The following is a 23,529-nucleotide window of genomic DNA, read 5'->3' on the forward strand; positions in this document are numbered from 1 at the left end:
TTATTTATTATAAATTTGTATTGGAACCTGCCATGTATCATGTACTGTCTAAGTGCTAAGGAGAGATACAAATAGGCAATTACCTTAACACAGAGTATTAATTCTATGATGGTGGTGAGTACTAAAGTGCTATAGGAGGACAGGAAATGATCTAACCCAACCTTGAGAAGAGTTTTCACATGCATACTACTGCTTTTTAATCTCAGACTCCCATGTGAACAGCAACATCCTGTTTTTCATGTTATGAATATCAGACGGGTTCCAGTGTTTCTAATAGCTGGGTTACTGATACATCCAGAAATCTTCTGTTAACAACTGACAAGTCAAATTCAGACTACCTGGTGCCAAGCAGCCCAGCTCACTTGTCAATATCGTTTATGTAACCTTGACTTTTCATGACAGAGTGGAGGTAAGAATAGACCCACCACCAAATGGTCATCTATACAGTATGTAATACAGGCTCAGCAGAAGTCTGGCCCCCAGGCTTCTCTGTGGGATGTTCACCTACATAACTTTACTTCTCCTCCTAATAACTCTGGCCTTGTGAGTTTTTCCTTCCTTCTCTAATAAACTAAGCCAATAGTTTCACTGAATTTATTCTGAACCCGGTTACATGACAAGTGAAAACTCAACTGTACTCCTTTGCAAAACAGGCTTCCTGGGTGACGTTGAAATGGAAATCACATGATAGTATGTCAAAGGTTTTTCCCCAGATTTTTCTGACACAAGAGAGTTGGAGTGAAACTGAGAATTCTCATGGACAGATTGACCTTAGGTTCCCCATGTAAGCTCAGCTCTCTCCACTCCAGACTGCTGGACTGTGTTAGTGTCTGGTTTGTCTGATGTGATTATGAACCCCCTGGGCAAGACTTTGCCTAATTCTATGTTCTCTACAGCACCTAGCAATGGTGTTGGCACCATCCAGTGCCAAAGGACGCTCAATCTCTGTTAACTAATAATAGGATTGACTTCTCAACTCAACATGATGAGGTTTCTGTCATCTTTATGCCAGTGTTTTTTTCTGATGTGTATTTCTATTTGTGTCTGGAGAGCAAGCTTCATGTGTTACTGATTCACCCCTGGGCTGATCTTCTTTTCAGGAAATGTAGGCATGAAGTTGAGATTTTTTCAACCACAAGTTTTGGGAACACGGACTGCTGAAATATGCTAGGTTACATGAAGGGGAAATGTTTTTGAAAGCATTGCTTTTATTTTTTTAGCAGTCATGGGGATCTTTGTGAGCCAAGGATGCAGACTGGTTAGCAGATGTGATTATAAAGCCAGCAGGTCCCTTCAATGCAAATGTTTCATTTTAGTTTCTCCATTCCTAAGGAAAACAGTCAGCTTTTTGTTCAATTGACAAGTCTTTTTAATGGTATTTCTTTAATTATACTTCTTGTTTGCTCTAGTACTGAATTATTAATTAAATTTTCCTCATGTTAAATGAGCCATTGTATTGATCTTTGTAGTCATAAATCAGATGTTACATATGACATTTTATAGCACAAATATAACAAATGATTTTTCTGTGTAATTTCATCTTAATTCAACTGAAGGTGGAAAATGTCTTCATAAAAAGAGGACTCTTTGTTATATGGGTTTTTCTCTTGCATGTAAAAGAGGAAGGCCTCTTTGCAGTTGAGATAACAGGAAGGCATCTGTCTCCTGCTCGTCCCTGTGCAATGGAATGTCTAGGTGTAAAACCCGATTATATTTTCCATCTACTGAGATAGGAGAAAACCACCTTAAGGCTGGAGGTGAGATGCTGGCGGCAATACTGCTCTTTAATGCGTCGAGATGTTTATGTCTGTGCACATCAAAACACAGCACCTTTTTCTTAACCTTGTTTATGACACAGAGACATTTGTTCACGTGTTTTCCTGCTGACCTTATCCCCACTATTACCCTATTGTCCTGCCACATCCCCCTCTCCGAGATGGTGGAGATAATGATCAATAAATACTGAGGGAGCTCAGAGACCGGTGCCAGCGCACAGCGCGGGTCTTCCGTATGCTGAGCGCCGGTCCCCTGGGCCCACTTTTCTTTCTCTATACTTTGTCTCTGTGTCTCTTTCTTTTCTCAGTCTCTCGTCCCACCCAACGAGAAAGACCCACAGGTGTGGAGGGGCAGGCCACCCCCCCCTTCATCTTCATTTTACATTTCTTTTAGCATGCTTTGTAATTGGCCTTTAGTGTAAGATTTTAGGCTAATCTGGCTAGGGGTTGGGCTGTGTTTAATGTTTTCTGTACTTGTACATACCAGAGGTCGCAAACCCCTCTATATATATTGCTTGTCTCCCCTGTGTTTTTTTTTTTTTTTTTTTTTTGGTTTCCGTAAGAACTCCTCCTCAGAGAGAGTCTGTGTCTTGTGCCTCTTTCAGCTATAATTCTTTGTTATACTGTGTTCTGTTGGTGTGTTGGTGTGTTGGTAAGGTGTTGGGGAGGGGGAAGGACCATTCTATAATTTTACAATTAAATCTCAGTCTTTACATGGGCCTGTGTCACTCAGCTGTGACCTTAACAAGTATTTCTTAGCTTTACTCGCCACTTATATGAAACAAGGTGGCTAGAAAGAGCTAGAGAGGAGTAGATGCTTTTTTCCCAGTTGGGATAAGGCTCTAGTAATATCTTTTACCTTGGAGGGTGAGCCTTTGTATGGTGATTGCTTTGGGTAAGTCACTTTTTTCCCCTTGTGCCAAAGCTACAAGGGGATCTTTCTTGACTCTACCGTAAGAGTCTAGTGGAGTTCCTGAAGGTAAAGCCCAAGAAAGTGGTTGGAGGGTGGTGGAGCTAACACTGTATTCCTTAGGAGTTTCTCATCCATATGCTTATCCACACTCAGCATGTACAATTCATCAAGTTTGCCATATAAGTGTTGCTATAAATTTATTGCTGGGACTTCTGCTCCAGGCAAGCAGATCTTGGTAGTAACTCTGAATTTACCTGGTTTGCAGGTGACAATTCAACATGTGACCTCAGGCCTCTACTGGGCCTGAGAAAGGTCATGGGGTTCAGTATGTTTAATTTTTATCTTATAATGACAGGAGTGAAAACTTCCAATTTCTTGACATGTTGGAGCTGAAACATTATATGACATTTCACAGGTAAAAATAAATTTGATAAGGGGGTTGAAGCATCACTACAAACAATTGGACTACAGTTTATTTAAAAATGTCTTGAAAACCAATTTCCAATGATGAAGTTAAGTGGATAGGGCAATTGAAATGAATAGCAGAGCTTAGCAGGGCTTCCACTGCCAAATTTGGGACAATTTGTGCACTATAACAAATAATAAGTGGAGTAAATTACAATACTTTAAACAAAGAAGGAATCTCTAATAAACTGGGCCAATAGTTTCACAGAATTTATTCTGAACCCGGTTACATAACAAGTGAAAACTCAACTGTACTCCTTTGCAATTAATAGCTCTTAATGATACCTCAAAATAGTAATTTCAAATGTTGAAGAGATAATGAATGAAAAGCTCCTTTTTATAGAAACATAACTAGTAAATATGGAAGAAATGATGAAATTAGAAAATCATTTGCTGACACTGTAGTAACGATTGATTCAAGCAGTATGAATTCATGGATGCCAAAACCATCAGGGTTAGAATCATTGGAGAGCAAGATATTTGCACAGTCTCAAAGTATTATCCCACAGATTACTTAATCACAAAAAGAAAAGAGCATCTTTACAATGAAGAAATTCAGCAGACATGCCTTAACCAAGTAATCAAGCTAAATTCTCCAAACTGGGACACACTGACATCGTGTACTTCTGATAGGCTGTTCTGTGAAGGACACAGCATCACCTGTGTATTAGTCCTGCCATAAATGTTTCACCTGAATTTAATTATGAGAAAATACTCATTTTAGGGTATAGTGTGTAGAAAAAAGGTTTGGACTCTAAAAATATTAGTATCATGAAATTTTTTAAAAGCTAGGAACTACTTTAGATTAAAGGGGGATAGACAGACTTGAAAACTAAGTGCAATGTATGATTCTTTATTGGATTCTGAAAGGAGGGGCATGAAAGAAAGATTTCTTTGGGACAACTCTGGAAATTTGAATATGTACTGGGTTTAGATAATTGCATTATATCAATGTTAATTATTGTAGTGATAATTATATTGTGATTTGTGGGAGAATGTTCTCCTTTAAGGAGTGAAATGCTGAAGTATTTGGCAGTGAGTGTCATGATGTCTGCAATTAACTTCCAAACAACTGAATGTTAACAACTAGTAAATCTAATTGAAGGGCCTTTATTGCAACTTTTCTACAGGCTTGATATTTTCAAAATTAGGAAAAAGAACAGTAAATAAAATGAATGACGGTAGTAATGATCACTATAAAATCAAATGCTTTATCCTATGGGTGTTAGTCGTCATACAGAGAAAAAGTTAAGCTTACCTTTGATCAACAAACACATTAGAAAATCTTTTAACATGCTATATGTGAGTTAATAATTTTTGCAAATGGGATCCCAGTTATAGTAAAAAAAAATCTGCCAACTACACAGAAACATAAAGAATACAGTAGATAGTCCAAAAATTCTTGCAAAAGACATAGAATTTACAAGGGCTTTGGTATACAGTGGTAGAAAATTAGAAGTAAAGTTTTGGATGCAATAAACTCACATATATTGTATTTATTGCTGCATAAATATGAAATGTCAAAAATATTAATAACAAATATAAATAATTGCAATAAAATGTCCTCCTACCTTAATTAAGCACTTTCCACAAACTTGTTTTCTTCAAAAGGCTGTCTTTTCACTGTACTGGTTACTCTGACAACATGTGAAATAATGAGAACATACATCTAGTCTTGGCTCTGAAGTTTTCCCTAAATAGGGCATTTTTAACGATGCTTTCTCTCCTGCAAGTGATGGTAAAGTGATTAAAACTACAGCAAAATTCAACATGAAGGTCAGACTGAGTCTTGCCAACTGTTAGAAAGTTTCGTAGCATGTGCCTGAGTAATGTTTTTATCCTTCCACATCGCCTCCTCTACTCATGTATTGTGCCAAGCCATAGGGAAAAGTTAGTCAGTGTGTTCATAGACACAGGGGAAAGTAATAAGAGGAAGGGGAATTAACTATCTTATCTATCTGGGATAAAATCCTTCTGTTTTGAGACATGCTTTATAAGTTACTTCATTCCAATTAGTGTCATTTATAAACTGTCATACTTAATAAGCAGCAAATGCCACAGTCAGCACTGTAGTGTAGCCATCCTTACAGGATACAATAATTAGCTCACCTTCAAATGAATTCTTGGTTTTTTTTCCCTGCCAAGCTCCAAGAACAAGGAGCCTGTTTCCGAAGGGCTGTGTCACATTGATAAAAGGGGCAATGGCTCTCAAGGAAGAAGAAGAGGTACCTAGAAAAGAGCAAAGCAGGGGCTGAAGAGCCCTGCCCCTCCAAATGTTGTCCTTTCTTACATGCTCTTTGATGCTGGGAAGTAGGAAGTGAGTGAGGAGGATGGGGAGAGGCAGAAACTAGTGAGAGATTCACATCTTTACCTCTTTGAGACTTACATTCTCCTTGCAAATCACATTTTCTCCTTTTAGAGCAGAAGTAGGATTTTTGCATCCCAGAATCTGTAGAAGAAAAGGGCCTGAGGCTGGCTGCAGGAAGCACTAAAGTCCCAGGAATTTTCCTTCCATTTCTGCTCCAGAACAGAGGCTGCTGATGTGGGCTGAGTTAAAGCACGTAGAAACCAAATAGCATCATGTTTTTGAGACATTTCTGATGCTAGTTCCTGTGTCTTAAGGCCCTGGGGTAAAGCTTTAACTTCAGAATTGACGCTTTGAGGGTTAAATCCCAGTTCTACGATTTTTTTTGTTTGATTTTGAAGTAATTTAACCTGTCGGATTCTCAGTATCTTCTGTAAGAAAAAAAAAAAAAGTGGAGATGAGGTATAGATACTATTAGCTGTCTCTTAGGTTAGCATGAGGATTAAATGAGAGCATATCTTAATGGTTCCGCAGCATGTCTTACACTAGTAAGGGCTCAGCGAATGATGACTGGCCACGCACTTCAGCCACTGAGGAATGGCAGGGAGGATCTTCTTTTCTTTGAATCTCTTCTTGCGGCCACAGTGTGGGTTATAAAGGCTGTGACATTCAGTCCATTCTGGCTTCCTGTAATGTTAACATGAGCACATCATGAACACTGGGCCTATACAAAGTTGTAAAGCAGGCAACGCTTGTCTTTAATGTTCTTCTCTTGCTCCTTCCAAAATTAGATTTCATATCCCAGACTCCCTTTTCCCCAACCTTCTTTACAGTCTTGGAGTTTTATGCAGCATGTCCCATACAACCCTCTTTAGGACTTCACTCTCCTATCTTCTATGGTCCCCAGGTTCTGTTTGAACACACCACCTGCTACGCCTATTGACCAGTCAGTCCTCTGAGGGTAAGTTCAGTTCTCTTTTCTTATTCTATTCACGAGATTTTTCAGTAACAAAGAATTATGGCCCTAGTGCTCACTAAGTGAGCTGTCTTGGAATTTTATTATTTAGAAATTTTAAAAATACATACAATTTGAAAATATTTTTGATATTTGAAATAAAATACCAGTCTTTAAACATTGGGGATATTCTTTGAATGAAATTGTGGAAGACTTTCTAGTTTTTCTAACTTAAAAAAAAAAAAAGCAAAGAAAAGTGCAGAATTCTAGATTTAAAATGAAAAAACAATATGAACCATGACTCAATATAACTTGCAGATTCATCATTTCCCAATGGCCACTCCTAACCCTCCCTAATTGTAAATGGTGGCATTATACTTGACTCTATACTTATTCTTCGAAGTCCTCAGATTTTTTTTAAAGATCTTTGTGTAAGCAGACTATTAGTCCTTGTCAAGAAATACTATTATTTTATAGCTTTCTGAAAATACATTTCAGTCATGCACACTTGGGCATACGGTTTGGAAAATTCAAATTAAATTTCCAAGTATTTAGTTCATTACAGAGTCAATGCTAACCACCTTAGGAAAATTGACTTTTCGATACCTTATCATGGTTGTCACATTCTTAAGCTATTCAGTTTCTCCTTACTAAAATCCACTAGTTTTCTAAAAGTGTAGGTTTTAAAATTAGTGAGGTCATAGCATTTTTTTTTATGTAGAGCTTCTTGTCATGATGGGGAATTTTAAGTGGTATTTGGAAGGCCCATTATTGCCTTTTTCTCACCAGGTTTAAGTGTATCTCCATTTTAATGACTTTTTCTGATATATTTGTTATGTCAAATCCCAGCACATGATAGTATCCTCCCTTTACTTTATACCAAGATACCCAGTTCCTTCATTCCCAAAAGATTATTCAACATTAAACCGGATGCATTCTTTTGTAACCTATAACTGAATTTTATCCTCTTGGGTACAAAAATTAAAAACAAAAAGTCTCTGACACCTCTTACTGCTTTCTTTGTGCCCCAACAACCAAAAAATGCATAAAAATTTAGATTTTCTTTTCAATTTCTGAATAAAGAACTCAAACTCCAGTTTTTGTTCGTTACTTTCTTTTTAATTATTTAGTAAGACTCTCTTTGAAGGTACAATAAAACCTCTATTATTAAGACTGCATATTAACTCACTCCACAAGATCTTTTAAGCCCATGACTTTTATCATTTATCCTGAGTTTCCTCCCAAGACTGTGTATTAATGCAAAGAGGAAAAGTGTGAAGCCTCTTTTTTCTTTTCCTGCCTATACTACATGCTCAGGTTTCAAAGCAAGATGTCACACTAGAAATAAAATAAATGCGGGAAATTTTCCTCTTGGCATTACTTTTCAGAGGCAAAGACTAAATAAATAGTAGCAGAGGTGGAAAGAGCATGACAAATACTTTAACATTATTGAGAAGTCCAAATAGAAAGATGGTCACATTGTAAGCTTTGCTGTATTGAGATTCTGGTAGAAATCTGCATGGAGAACATACCTTGGACTGACACCCTTGGGAGAGGCCTCCCTTAAATTCTTCACAGCTGGACTCTGGAGACAAGCAGATGCTCTGCATGCCAAGGACATGAAAGGAGAGGGATCTACCGAGCTGATTTCTGAGGAAGCTGGCTCCCAACCCAAGCATCAAAATTACAGCCGAGACCCTGATTATTTGTCACTTTTCCCTGCAGTTTTGAATCAGTAATCATATTTATCTGAGCTTATATAACATAAAATTATTGCCAGCCAATTTTACTCAATCTTTAATCATTAATTTACTTAAACTTTTTAAATAAAGGATATTTCAGTTAAGGTTTTGTTGATATTATGCAAAAAATTCAACAGTACTAACAGCACTGATTAATTTTCAAATCTTGGTCCTTTAGGAGGTTGAATGAGTTTCTCTTTTCTTTATTCTTTTAGCATAAAGATCAAGACCTACTTTTTAAGGGAGGCCTTTCTTTGTAATAAATACTTGCATCATCTCTAAATAAAAAAAATTTGCTTGCTGTATCTCCTGTTCCCTTTAACAACTGCTCAGATGAATGCATTCATGATTATTATATATCTCCCATGACTTTATTACGCTCTAAACTTCTAAAGACTAGTGAACATGTTCTCTAGTATAAGCCATAAGAGCCTAGAAACATGTTCAACATTTGGTTAATAATTTATCTTAAGGTCTATTGGCTGTTGAACACAAATCACTTTTTTACTCTCACTGCATTATGAAAGACTGTAATTATTTTAATGCAAGATACTACATTGAATTATTAGAAAATTTAGTATTCGTAATATAGAGATTAATAAGTCTATTAACTACCACAGTTTGATCTTATTATAAGAATTAGTGGGTGTTGCTTTCTCACCATCTATTTTCATGTCTGTAGGCTACTTTTGGTTTTAGTGTCTAATTACCCTCTTTTTTATGTCTCCTTATCTGCCTTGGCTACTTTACTAAAGTTCTACAAGGAGATACATGCATTACCTGCCAGCTACACAGAAATATTCTTCAGAATGATAACATTTACTGGGTATTACTATAATATAAATTCTAATTGATGGTTAGAGTTGGAATAAAAACATGAAATACCTTTCACACCTTGCCATGCTCAAGAATTTCAATATGATTAAAAGAACACAGGAATTGAAATTTGCTAACCTACATGCTTTCCAACAAATTGAGTATTCTACTGTGTATCAGCCCCAGGGGCTATCATTCTGACACTTTCTCATCAGAATTAAACTACAAATTCAATAATAATAATAGTAATAATAACTTAGCTAAGTAGGTCAGACTGCTGAGAGCCCTAGCACTAAGTTTATTTATGACTGGGCAAGAATTCTCTACCATGAAAGAATGAAAACGACAATAAATCTACCTTGTGCTTATAAAGAAGTGAGTTAATGAAAAAAAGGAGTATATCTCTGATAACATCACATTGTTCTTTTAACTTAAATCTTGTAACTTTTTTCTCATTTTCTCCCCTCCACTGTACACACATTTCAATGTCATTGGGAAATGTGCCCATTTTTGTTATATCCTGGAACTGTCTAGAGTTCCATTAGCCCATTGTTTATTGTTTTTTTTGACTAGACCAAAACTTAGTAGGTTAAACCTTATATATACAAATTGATAGATAATCTCCATCTGTATATTCCATAAGTGTCTCAAACTTAACTCACTCTCTTCCTGCTCATGTCAATTGCCAAGGGGCCAAACTCAGAATTTCAGAAATGTTACCTCTTTTCATACAGTCAGCAAGTCCTATGAATTTCATTTTGAAGCTATAATTTGATTCCATTATCTCCTTTTTACTCATACTCCCACTTCTCTGCCAACAAATTGATTGTCCCATCTCCAGTCTCCTTAGTTTTCATATATTTTTCATCCTGCCACCAGAGTTTTCTTCCTACAAGGCAAATCTAATCAAACTGTTCTGCTCAAAAACCTCCAATAGCTTCCCTTTATGTACAGAATAAATTTAAAAAATTATTAACATGAAATTAAGACCTGGCTTGTGACTGATTTCAGTTTACCTCCATGTTGTTTTAAATGAGATTTAGTATCATAATGTGATTAAGAATGCAGGTTTTAGATTTTAAAAGCCCTAAGTTTAAACTCTTACTCCCACATTTTCGAGCTAAGGGACCTTGGAAATGGTTCTTAACTTCTGCAATCTGTTTCTTTATATATTTATTGAAAATGGAAAGAAAAATGCCTACCTTACATATTTTTTGTGACAATTAAATTAGATAACCTACATAAAGGTATATAATAAACATTGAATATATAGCAATCATTACTATTTTTTAACTTTTTGACTTCATCTACTCCTATCACCACCCACTGCCCCGCACCTTGGAGCTATCCTATACCTGAGGTAGCAAACAGATTTCATTACCCAAACCAAATTGGTGAAGAGGTAATGTTTGTTTCTTGAGCCCTACACTAAGAAGGATTCTAAGCAAATCAGACTCAGCAGGAAACAATGTTGAAATAGATTTGCAGAGTCTGCCATTGGGCACAGAAAAGAGTGTTAGTTGTACTGATACTGTATACTACATTGTAGCTAATTTGTAATACATGTGGTCCCTTGTATCTCCTACATCCATAAATTTATCTTCTGCTTCATCTGTCCAAAATAGTTTATTGTTCTCTCATTTTCCCTTCTACCTGTCAAAATCTTACTCATTCCTTAAGACCCATATCAAATGTACCCCTTGTTATAAACCTGCCCTCCCTGAGTACTACTAACTGCAGTTTATGTCTCTGTTATAACTCTTCCTGCAGCCTGAGTTGAATTATAACTCTCTGTATATATTTCAGGTTTCTGCATCTTGAAGGTAAGGACTACTGCTCCTTTCCCTTTGTTTGCACTGGTACACCAAGGGCAGTGCTTGCAATAGACCAATAACAGCAACAACCAAAATTTATGAAGCCCTACTTATGTGTCAGGCCTTGTTGTAAGCAATTCTCATACATATGAACTCAATTAATCCTCACAAGACCTCCAGGAGTTACATTGCCCTATTTACAAAGGAGGAAATGAGAGGTAGAAGGTGAAGTATCTTGCCCCAGCTCACAAAAGTAGTTACTGGTAGCAGCTTGTCCTCTCAATCACTACACTTGTACACCTTCTTAAGGAACGTATTATGTTTATTGAAGTTTTGTAAAATTTTTTATTTGAATTGAAAATATATTTTGATGTTATTATCTTCATTTAAATGTTTTATTTGTAGACAAAATGCATGGCCAGTTACATTGCAAATGCCCACTCTAAATGTACATGTGAGAAATACCATACTGTAAACACAAAGAGGTGTTGAGTGCAAACGTCATAGTAGGGGCTGTTAGCTGAAATTCTGTATCATCTATATTGTATGTATGTTTCAGTTCAAGTTATTAATAGATATGCTAGTGCTTTATTTCATGTTGAATATTTTTCTTAAAATAAAAATATTTTTTCAAAAATCTCTAAAATGCTTTACAGGCACAAATTTAATGTCAAAAATTTGTACTGTGAGATCATTGGAACCTGGCCAGACATGCAACCAAACTGAGAAGCGAAATGGTGCTCATAAGTGCCAAGTTAAACCATGTGAAACCAGTAATGTCTTCATCTTAATCAAGCATGCATATCCACATGTGGAAGCCTTAAGGGGCAAAGGTGTCATATTTAACTTGGACTTTGCAACTCTCCCTTTCCTAATATGGATATTTTCTTCTACTTATCATGGGCCAAGTCTTATGCCTTTGGAGTCTCCGGTCTCCTCACAGGAGTTTATGCCTTTGCACTTCCCCCAACAAAATTGAATAACCAAAGAAATAGGTCTAGGTGGGACATTTGCTATGTTCCTCTGGTTCTCTTAATGAAATGTGATGGTCTACTAATGACAGAGCCAGAGATATTCCTGAATAACGGACAGGGGTGAGATTATGGACTTATCTTAGAAGGAGGACTCAGCCAGAGTCTCAGTCTAACTAGCAAACTAGACTTTTGCTTAGAATCTCAATCTAAGCCTTCAGGAGAATCTCAGGCATATTAGATTAGGGAGCATGCTAATGAACACATCTTAGTTTAACATTATAGTCACATATATCTTGAAGACAATTGGAGTTTCCTATACCATATATGTATGCCCTAACTCTGTTTGCCTTTTTTTTGTTTAATAGGTGTTAATATTTCACTTTTTAAAATGCCCTACATTTGAAGGGCACCTGTAGTCCTAAAGATCCAACTAAAATAATCACAAACCTTCAGAAAGTAACCAAATACAGACCATTTAAATGAATTTGCATTTATGTAAATTGACTCATACATATGTTTCCTGCCCTTGAGATTAAAAAGTCACCCTGTAAGATCTCCATGCACAATGATTCTTGGGGCAGCCCTGACATGCTGTAGTGAGCCTCATGCACTCTCTCTCCTCCAGTCACAGATTCTTTTCTTTGACCTAATACGGAAGTGTTGGGTGTCTCTGCCTTCTATAGTGCACTGACTCAATAGGAAACAACTGCATAAGCTAAAATAAATTTGGCCTGATTTGGGAAGTGCTAGCATGGTTTTTCCACCTTAAAAAATATTTCATAACAAGACTTCTAAGTAACTGTCTGCTCCCAGTCACTATCTTTCATCTAACTTTCTTTGCATCTCAGCATATTCCTAGGAAGCACTTGAAAAATCTTGTGATTAAAAAAAAAAGATACTTAGAAGAATTCTTACAATTGGAGAGCTCTCTGTTCTTGGTGGCTAGGGCTTCACGTTTCCAGCTATTATCTCATTTGTTCACATGCTCCTTTCTGTCAGAAAAAGAGCAAGTGTATACAAGAAGTAGGAATGGAGTGGCAGCTCAGCATTTGTGTTTCCAGTTTCAGACTCCTACGCATTGCTTGAAATTAGTCTAGAACTTCAGGTGGTCACTCCAAATATGAATTCACTGACTGGATATAATCCTAGTCATTCTAAACCTCCTCTCTTGTGAATGTTTACCTGGTGATATTTTTTTGAGAGATTAATAAATGTTAATGACCTCACCAGAGAGTTCTTTCCAAATGAAAATTGTGCTCCCTTGGAAATTGCCAACTGCTATCTTGGAGAATTTTTATAAGATTGCTAATTTGAAGAAAGATTTTGATTTAGGTAATAAAAGGAAGAGGGATCCTAATAACCTATCTCTAAGGACCAGAATATACTTAATTAATTGGTGTAGTCTATGAAGCAATTAAACTAAAAGAGTTCTACTTTCTTCTTAATAGCTATTTCAGATTTGCAAATATTCAAATTTCTATTTTGTAGGAAACATTATGTTCAGATTCGCTTTTTACATATGTAAAGTAATTCACTGATGACTAGGAAGCAGAATTAAAAATTACAAATTTTATATGGCTTTTCCCTACTTCTGTTATGTTTTGTTTAATCTCCATCATGTAGCACTGTGCCAAGTATAAAGTACTTATGGGAAATAGAGTAAATACTTAGTATTTATTGAATAAATGGATGTGCTATGACCTAAATGTTTGTGCTCCAAAAAATTCACTTAACCCCCAAAGTGATGATATTAGGAGATGGGGCCTAATTGGGGGTAATTAGTCATGAGGGTGGAGCCCTTATGAATGGGATTAGGGGTGTTATAAAAGAGGCCTAAGGGAGCTTGTTTGCTTCTTTCACCAAGTGGGGATGCAACATGAAGGCAGCATCTATGAGGGAATCTGCTGATGTCTTAATCCTGAAATTTGCAGCCTCCAGAACTGTAAGAAATACGTGTTTCTTATTCCTAGGCCAGCCAGTTTGTGGTAATTTTCTTATATCAGCCCAAGAAGACTACTATGGTCGAGTGTGCCCCCCAAAATTCATATATTGAGACTTAATGAGCAATGTGACAGTATTAAGAGGTAGAGTCTTTAAGAGGTGGTTAAGTCATGAGAGCAGAGCTCTCATGGATGGGTTTACGGCCTCTATAAGAGGACTTCAGGGAGTTGGTTTGTTCTCTTCCCCCGCTTCTTCCATGTGAAAACATCTAGAAGGCCCCTATCTATGAGGAATGGTCCTTCACCAGACACTAATCCTGCCAGTGCCTTGATTTTGGACTTCCCAGCCTTTAGAACTATGAGAAAATAAATTTTTATTATTTATAAATTATGCAGTCTTGGGTATTATGTTATAGCAGCACAAATGGACAAAGATAGTTACTAATACAGAATGGACTTATACATTTAGTTTTCAGTACAATCTAGGTGGTCATTTTAGCCATTTTTATTCCTGTTGTATGTGGCTATAATTGATTGATTCATTCCGTTGGTAAAATGGATAAAATAACATTTCCAAACATTGTGTATTTTGTTTCATATTGCTTGCCTCAATTTGAATACTAAGGTAGTTTGTGGTAAAGGTGCTTATGATTGTCCTTAGTGTGTTTCCCAAATTATTTTTAGTTCTCTTAAGCACTTGGTAGGTCTGTACTTCCAGGCTCCCTTGTAGATAGGTGGTGTGGTGTGAGATGCTTTGGCAAGGGAATATAAACTTAACAGGCATGTATTTATTTCTGATGGAGGCTAAAGGGCTAGTGTATGACTTGCCATGCTTTCTCTCTTCCTTTGCCTTAATATTTTGCCATGTTCTAGATACTGGCTGTTTCATCAGCCATGTCTAGGAGTGAAGAGAAGTCAGATTGGAGCCCCAGGTCAATTTTCTATAAATATAAAGGATTTTTTTTATTGCAGTGTAAGCGAACTCTTCCTGACTGAAAACCAAAGAAAGAGTGTTTCTGGAATCAAGAATTGATTAGTAACACTAAATGTTGAAGAGCAGTTAATGACTACAGGACTAAATAATGTCTATTGAATTTGGCTACAGTGAAACCATTTTTAAAACTTTTTTCCTTTTAATGAGAATAGTTTCTATAGAGTGATAAGTGTGAAACCAGACCTAAGTGGTTGAAGAGTGAGTGAGAAGTGAGGAAGTAAAAAGAGTGATTGTAGAAAAGTCAGGAAGTTTGTCTGTGCAAGTGAGAAGAAAATTGACTTGGTAATGCTAAGACAGGGCAGTAGAGATCTTTCCATCCCCTTTTTCTGTTGAAAGTTACAACACAAAAATCAAAGAGTTAAAGAAACAGTAACATAAACCCCATGCTTAATCAAACACAAAGACATCTACAATCCTAAATTATAACATTTAAAGAAAGAAAACAGATAGAGGAATTATGAAGATCTTAGCAGGAAAAAAAAGAAAAGGTCAAATTCAAGTTCCTGTATATGGTGGAGAAAGTGGAGATAACCGATAAAAAGTAAACCAATTCACCACATAGGATTTCAAGAAAGGCTCAACAATTAGGAGCATGAAGAACTGCAAAAGGTGTAAGTTAGGCAGGTGGCTGAAAATAGAGATTTGAAAGCCCGTTTATGGAGTTATTAGGACCCAGGTGCCCACTCTAACGCAGCATCAGGTGGCTGCTTCCCTTCTACAACTCCGGGAGGAATTTGCTTTGAGACAGTGAATCAGCAAGGCTCCAGATGCTGAAGCACCAAACCCAAAGGAGGACAGCCACAAGGCAATGGATTGAAAATGAAGATATTACGTGTAAGTCTACACAGTAACTAGTGAAACCCTAAATTCTTCTCAAACCTACCACCTGACCATTAGCAGTGAGGAGCCTCCAGGAGAAAGGTTAGAGGAGACATAAAATTGATATACAGGTATTGACATTTGTAACATCTGAAAGTAAAATACCGCTTTTTAAATCCAATTGCTTTTAAGAAAGCTCACTGACTGGCATGCCGTATCTATGCACACAGAACTCCAATCAGCTTTTTTGGTTCCTGACTCTTGCGGAAGACAAAGATGATCACATATTGAAGGAAATCCACTACTGTAGGAGAGAAAGGTCAAACAAAGCACAACAAACCTAATAAAAGGAACTTGGAGGAAACAGAGATAATGCAGAGAAAAAAAATTTAAATACAGTAGCACTTAATACTTTCAGATAATGAAGATGTTGTTGCCTTGAAATAAAGACGTGATAAAAACAGAAAAAGTAAAAAATAAAATAAAATAAAAAAGAAATTGAAGTTAAAACAGCTGAATTTTTATTTTTTTAAATATTTTCTATTTCAATAGCTTTTGGGGTACAAGTGGTTTGGGGTTACATGGATTACATGGATGAATTGAGCAGTAGTGAAGTCTGAGGTTTTAGTCCACCCAACAACCAAATGGTGTACATTGTATCCAATATGTAGTTTTTTTATCCTTCACTTTCCTCCCACCCTTCTCCTTCTGAGTCACCAAGGTCCATTATATCACTGTATGCCTTGGTGTAAAACAGCTGAAATTTTAAAGAAAATTCCTAGAATATTTAAAAGAGAAGATCAAGAAGATGACCCAGAAAGCAGCCTTAAAAGCCAAAGAGAAGGAATATTGAAATAAAACAGATATGGATATGGGACATCAGTATACAACTAGTAGGAATTGAGTGAAAAACTTATGCCTGTTATCCCAGCACTTTGGGAGGTCGAGGCGGGCGGATCACGAGATCAGGAGATTGAGACCACCCTGGCCAACATGGTGAAACCCCGTCTCTACTAAAAATACAAAAATTAGCCGGGCATGGAGGCATGCGCCTATAGTCCCAGCTATTCGGGAGGCTGAGGCAGGAGAATCGCTTAAACCTGGGAAGCAGAGGTTGCAGTGAGCTGAGATCGTGCCACTACACTCCAGCCTGGGTGACAGAGCGAAACTCCATTAAAAAAAAAGAAGAAGTAAATTATCAAAGAAATAATAGAAGAAAAACATCCATAATTGAAGGACATAAAACCATAGATTAAAGAGTTTAAGTATGCTCAGCACAATGAATGTGGAAAAAAACAAACCACAATCCATCCAGAAAAAAATCTAGTGTATGTAGTACTCCATTGTTTCCTAGACAGTGAAAGTGTTTGTTACTAGAGTATATACTGGTCAAAAAATACTGTTCTCAGTGAAATTATAATTATTCTCAGCAACTTCTTTTACCTGAAATAATTTTCTTCACTAGTTACGATTTCTTTTTTTTTTTTTTTATATATACTTTAAGTTTTAGGGTACATGTGCACAATTCTGAGTAGACTCCAGAACTTTCTAATTAATGAATTCAACACCATCCCTTAATAAGCCACCTGAGGTTTCAGGTTGTTTCCATTTTTTTTCACTGTGGTCTCCCATTCAGCAGCCATGACACTGCCTCTGCTTTAATTGTCTTCCTCTATCAATCACAATTTCCACAGATATTTTCTATTGGTGGCGGCTATCATTTGGATATGTGACCCTCCAACCTCATCTTGAAATTTGATCTCAGTGTTGGAGTTAGGGCCTAACAGGAGGTATTTGGATCATGGGGACAGATTTTATAAACTGCTGGGTGACATCCTCCCTCCTGTTAATGTGTGAGTTCTTACTTTATTAGTTTCCATGACATCCGGTTGTTAAAAGGAGCATGCCCCTCTGTTCTCTCTCTCTCTTGCTTCCTCTATTCCTGTGTGATGTCTGCGCATATCAATTCCCCTTCCCCGTCTTCCATGATGCACATATCAGCTTCCCTTCCCCTTCTTCCACGAGTGGAAACAGTCTGAGACCCTCACCGGATGTCTAATCCTGAGCTTTTCCAGACATCAGAAACATAAGCCAAATAAACCTTCTTTCTTTATAAATTGCTCAATCTCAGGTATTCCTTCACAGCAACATAAAATGGACTAAGACAGTGGCTACACTATACTAAGCTCCCAGTCTACCAATGCTGTCCTGTCGTCTGTGTCAGAGTAGTCTGATTGTGGGTGGGGGAATGTTAAGAAGAAGAAACACTATTCCCCCAAAAATATGTTGCATTTTTGTTTTCATGCCTTCAAAAGAAGATAAATTTATCTATGTCTGATATGGTTTGGCTGTGTCCCCACACAAATCTCATCTTGAATTGCCACGTGTGGTGAGAGGGACCAGATGGGAGGTAATTGAATCATGGAAGCAGGTCTTTCCTGTGATATTCTCATTATAGTAAATACGTCTCATGAGACCTGATGGTTATTATAAGGGGGAGTTTTCCTGCACAACCTGTCTTCTTTTATCTGCTGCCATGTGAGATGTGCCTTTCACTTTCCACCATGATTGTGAAGCTTCCCCAGCCACGTGGAATTGTAACTCAAATAAACCTCTTTCTTTTGTAAATTGCCCAGTCTTCAGTATGTCTTTATCAGTGGCATGAAAACAGAATAATACAGTGAATTGGTACCCATAGAGTGGGGCATTGCTGAAAGGATACCCATAAATATGGAAGCAACTTTGGAACTGGGTAACAGGCAGAGGTTGGAACAGTTTGGAGGGCTCAGAAGAAGACAGGAAAATGTGGGAAAGTTTGAAACTTCCTGGAGACTTATTGAATGGCTTTGACCAAAAGCCTGATAGTGATATGGACAATAAGGTCTAGGCTGAAGTGGTCTCAGAAGGAGATAAGGAACTTGCTGGGAACTGGAGCAAAGGCGACTCTTGTAATGTTTTAGCAAAGAGACTGGCAGCATTTTGCCCCTGCCCTAGATATTTGTGAAACTTTTAACTTGAGAGAGATGATTTAGGGTATCTGGCAGAAAAAATTTCTAAGCAGCAAAGCATTCAAGAGGTGACTTGGGTGCTGCTAAAGGCATTCAGTTTTATAAGGAAAGCAGAGCATGAAAATTTGCAGCCTAACAATGTGATAGAAAAGAAAAACCCATTTTCTGAGGAGAAATTCAAGCTGGCTGCAGAAATTTGCATAAGTAACCAGGAGCCAAATATTAATCCCCAATACAATGGGGAAAATGGCTCCAGGGCATGTCAGAAGTCTTCATGGTAGCCCCTCCCATCACAGGCCCAGAGGCCTAGGAGAAAATGGTTTCATGTGTCGGGCCCAGGGTCCCCGTGCTGTGTGCAGTTTAGGGACTTGGTGCCCTGCATCCCAGCCACTCCAGACATGACTAAAAGGAGCCAAGGTACAGCTCAGGCTGTTGCTTCAGAGGGTGGAAGTCCCAAGCCTTGGCAGCTTCCATGTGGTGTTGAGCCTGTGGGTGCACAGAAGTCAAGAACTGAGGTTTGGGAACCTCCATCTAGATTTCAGAAGATGTATGGAAATGGCTGGATGCACAGGAAAAAGTTTGCTGCAGGGGTGGGGTCCTCATGGAGAACCTCTGCTAGGGCAGTGCAGAAGTGAAATGTGGTGTCAGAGCCCCCACAAAAAGTCCCTACTGGGGGACCACCTAGTGGAGCTGTGAGAAGACAGCCATTGTCCTCCAGACACTGGAATACTAGATCCACCAATAGCTTGCACCATGCCCCTGGAAAAGCCACAGACACTCACTGCCAACCCATGAAAGCAGCCAGGAGGAGGGCTATGCCCTGCAGAGCCACAGGGGCAGAGCTGCTAGAGACCATGGGAATCCATCTCTTGCATTAATGTGACTTGAACACGCAATATGGAGTCAAAGGAGATCATTTTGAAGCTTTAAGATTTGACTGCCCTGCTGGATTTTGAACTTGCATGGGGCCTATAGCCCCTTTGGTTTGACCAATCTCTCCCATTTCGAATTGTTGTATTTATCCAATGCCTCTACTCCCACTGTATCTAGGAAGTAGCTAACTTGCTTTTGACTTTACAGGCTTATAGGCAGACGGGACTTGCCTTGTCTCGGATGTGACTTTGGACTGTGTACTTTTCAGTTAATGCTGAAATGAGTTAAGACTTCGGGGGACTGTTGGGAAGGCATGATTGGATTTGAAAGGTGAGAACATGACATTTGGGAGGGGCCAGGGCAGAATGATATGGTTTGGCTGTGTCCCTGCCCAAAACTCATCTTGAATTCCCATGTGTGGTGGGAGGGGCCAGGTGGGAAGTAGTTGAATCATGGGGACAGGTCTTTCCCATTCTGTTCTCATGATGGTGAGTAAATCTCATGAGATCTGATAGTTATTATAAGGAGAGTTTTCCTGCACAAGCTCTCTTCTCTTATCTGCTGCCATGTGAGATATGCCTTTCACCTTCCACCATGATTGTGAGGCCTCCTCAGCCATGTGGAACTGTAAGTCCAATAAACGTCTTTCTTTTGTAAATTGCCCAGTCTCAGGTATGTCTTTATCAGCAGCATAAAAAGGAACTAATACAAAGCCTTACGCAGTTTAGCATGAAACTCTCTTATTATGGGTTCAAAAGTACTTGATCACAACTGAAGATAGGGTAAAGGAAATTTTATGTTTCCCCCTTTTATTGCTTTTATATTCACCTTTCTTCTTCTCATACCCTCCTTTACACAAACACTTTCTTTGTCAGCAACATCTACAAAAGTTCGTATGCACATTATATTCAAGGAAATTCTCAGGAGCTCACAACTCAATCATAGTCTTCAATTTGTTCTCAGCTAAGACATTTTAATATACAAAAAAGGAGACAAAATATAGAATCAATGTGTGGTTTTGTGGGCTGAATTATGTCCCCACCCCCAAATTCATATGTTGAAGTTCTAACTCTTAGTTAAATAAGGTAATTAGGGTGGCCTCTAATCCGATATAACTGATGTCCTTAAAAGAAGAGGAAATTAGGACACAGACATGTACATGTACAGAGGAAAGACCACGTAAAGACACTAGGAAAAGACAGCCATCTGCAAGCCAAGCAGAGAGGCCTCAGAAGAAACAAACTCTGCCAACCCCTTGATCTCAGACTTTTAGCCTCCAGAACAGTAAGAAAATAAATTCTGTTAGTTACAATACTTTGTTTAGCAGCCCTAGCAAATGAATACTTGTGGCATAAAATTTAAAGCAGAAGAAGGAAGGAGGGAGGGAGGGAAATAAGGAAAAAAGGAAAGTAGGGCAGTATAAAGTTTTATCTCTTAAGAACTTTTTTCAATAATCTCAGTTTTAAGGATTTTAATTAGACAAAAACTCACAGAGCTGGAAAAGACATGAAGCATTTCCCTTTTTTTCAACTCATTTTTCAATTAAAGAATTGAAGGCTCAGAGACATGAAGCTCCAAGTTCAATCAGTGAAAAGAAAGCCGGGTACCCAATTCTAGAAATATAGCATTGTTAAAAACTCAGGAGGAAAGTCCATGTCACTTCCAGGGGCATGGTGATTAGAAGGGCAGAATTTGGCTGATGTGGTGGTGGCTCATGCCTGTAATCCCAACACTTTGGAAGGCCAAGGCAGGGATTGAAGCTAGGAATTTGAAACTAGCATGGACAACAACAAAGTGAGACCCAATTCAAAATAAACAAATAAATAAAATAAAGAAAGAAAAAGAAAAGAAAGAAAAGTTTAAAAAAAAATGAAGAATTTTAAAAAAAATCTTGGTATCAGGATATCAGAAAAATGGCCTCACAGAGAGGATGGCTAATAGTCCCACTTCTTTGAATGATACAATTTTGTCAACCAACTAAACTCCTCTGACTCTTCCTCCTACTTGTTCTTTCCTTCCACTGATGTTCCCTACATTCTAAATTTAGAAAGAGATACATTTTTAAAATCACTTATTTATGAAAAAGGGAGAGTTACATGAGATAGCTTTGGGTAGCTGAACCCAAGGAAACCTAGTTACCCATTTTTGTGAGTGTCCACCCCAAAGGACATAAATTAAACTAAGAGCAAACTGTAGGAGTTGTCTCAGAAGCTTTAGGAAATGCGGAAGTGACAGCAGGTAAAGATTCTCCTCTAAATCTCTGTTCCAAAGGTCATAATGGGAAAGAAAATCAACATTTTTTAACAACAAACCTTTTTATATGCTGTCTTCCAAAGCTTAATATATATGTCTGGTGAAACAAGGTCATTTGTGTCTGCTCTGCCCGTTGTCTCAATTATAGCTGTTTTAGGATTTGCTTCACAAAAGAGGTAAACAGGTTTTGGATCAGAAAACAAAAAGCTCCTTTGTTTTCCAGGGAATGGGATGCTGAGGTAATCCACTACATTTGTGGAACCTTCCCCAAGGGAGAAAATGGCAGGTTTTCCACCAAGAAATAATTGCTTTTAGAATGATAAGAAAGGAAGTTAGTTACTCTTGCATAAGTGCATCTGTCCTGACTGGCTGTAATTTTTGTTTTTAGTTTGCTCTTTTAGGTCAGATGATATAAATCATCATATTCAGACAGTTTAATGTTGTTCAGCTACAGTTTGATTTTCTGGCATACTAAATCTAAGTGTTAAAATAAATTGGAGCCAAGTTTTACATTGAAACAAAGTCATAAAACTCTACATATTTGAAAATGAGGTGATTGCTTAACAGCTTGAAAAGACTTAGTATTGACCTTGTCTATTGTTTCTTATAGAATAGTATTTACATTAATGTCAAATTCCAAAAAGCAAAACTAAATGAGTCTAATATGAACTACATATTAATTCATACACACACACACACACACACACACACACACAGACACACACACATACATAAATTATTGTGCCTATGTCAGGAAAAGATAAATATACAGCCAGTTCTCATTATTTGCTTTTGTGATCTTTTCTCTTTTGGTTTGTATTGTGTTTATTTAATCAAAGTCTACTTCTGATCCCATTTCTCCCTGCATTGTTTCTCTGAATCAGGCACTTTGTTTTCCTTTCAAATCCAGTCTTAACTTTTTCTTCTTCCTTTTTCCTCTCTGTTTTCAGACTTCATCTTATTTTTGTTCCCAGCCAATCTTTCAAAAATGTATTGAGCATCAAGTCTGCACACTAACATATACATGATTATATACAGATGTGTATATGTGCATACACAAAGACACAGAGAATCTTCAACTTGTGAGAACTCAGCTTCTAAATTTCAAAACTTCTACCAAGCCCTTTGCATAATATACAAGACTCTTCATGATCTGGCATCTGCCTACTTATCCACTCTCTTCTCCACCCCTTTCCCCCTTCATACTTCACACTATAGAAATACTGAGCTGCTTGTAACACCTCTCCTCTGCTTGCCTTTGAACATGATCCTCACCTTAGCTAGAACAAACCTAAATCCTCTTCTCATGGGTCATAGCCTTATCATCCTTCAAGTCTGAGTTGAATAGCCACCTCCTCTGAGAAGCCTTCCATAAGCACTCCCTAGGGGCTCATAAACTCTTTCACCCAGGCTATAACCTCTATGAAGGCAGTAACAATGTACAGACAGACCAGGATTGTTATATCTTTGTCCCTTCAATTCCTAGAATAATTCCTAACATGTAATAGATAGTTAATGAATAACAGATTAGTGAACCATCAAGGGAATATACCTCTTGTGCAAAAGTAGTTGTCCTGTTTATTGGACATTTAATTCTTAATTGGACATTTAGAATGCCAAGAAAGTATATTTTCTCAGGAGATCCTTTTTGTAACCAGGAATTACTACCCCAGCATAGTAGTAATGGAGCTCCTTCTCGCCAATGCCTCTTTCAGGAAAACTGTTGCTCTTCAGAGTAAAATAAAGATGTATTAGGAGCTGGGATAAATTTATTGACAGAAATCATGGTATACAGGATGGATAGGCATGGTTAAAATATAAATGCTCTACTTAAGCCATGCTGTAGGTTAAACTGAAGCTTTATGAGCACATGTGGAGATATG

At 37.6% G+C, this 23,529-nt stretch overlaps 1 long non-coding RNA gene across 1 annotated transcript in view, besides 2 other annotated features; it reads right to left on the minus strand.

Moving 5' to 3' along the window:
• Nucleotides 582-721: an enhancer, noted in NCBI's record as "active region_20145". NCBI's record gives its function as "activates an Ori minimal core promoter by ATAC-STARR-seq in GM12878 lymphoblastoid cells {active_cell/tissue: GM12878}" and the evidence as "EXISTENCE:reporter gene assay evidence [ECO:0000049][PMID:35858748]".
• Nucleotides 4,730-23,529, minus strand: part of LOC105374007 (uncharacterized) — a 175,630-nt gene continuing 156,830 nt past the window's right edge. The window contains exons 2-5 of the long non-coding RNA XR_001740463.2: nt 6,003-6,145; nt 5,525-5,889; nt 5,263-5,382; nt 4,730-4,879 (exon numbers count right to left, since the gene is read on the minus strand). This is a non-coding gene — a long non-coding RNA (uncharacterized LOC105374007). The remainder of the gene's footprint in view (nt 4,880-5,262; nt 5,383-5,524; nt 5,890-6,002; nt 6,146-23,529) is intronic.
• Nucleotides 21,581-22,116: an enhancer, noted in NCBI's record as "NANOG hESC enhancer chr3:99158569-99159104 (GRCh37/hg19 assembly coordinates)". NCBI's record gives its function as "activates a minimal SCP1, AML or CMV promoter by ChIP-STARR-seq in primed H9 embryonic stem cells {active_cell/tissue: H9 hESC(primed)}" and the evidence as "EXISTENCE:reporter gene assay evidence [ECO:0000049][PMID:30033119]".

This window comes from Homo sapiens, chromosome 3 (genome assembly GCF_000001405.40).
Source record: "Homo sapiens chromosome 3, GRCh38.p14 Primary Assembly".
In the NCBI taxonomy this organism is placed as follows: Eukaryota; Metazoa; Chordata; class Mammalia; order Primates; family Hominidae; genus Homo; species Homo sapiens.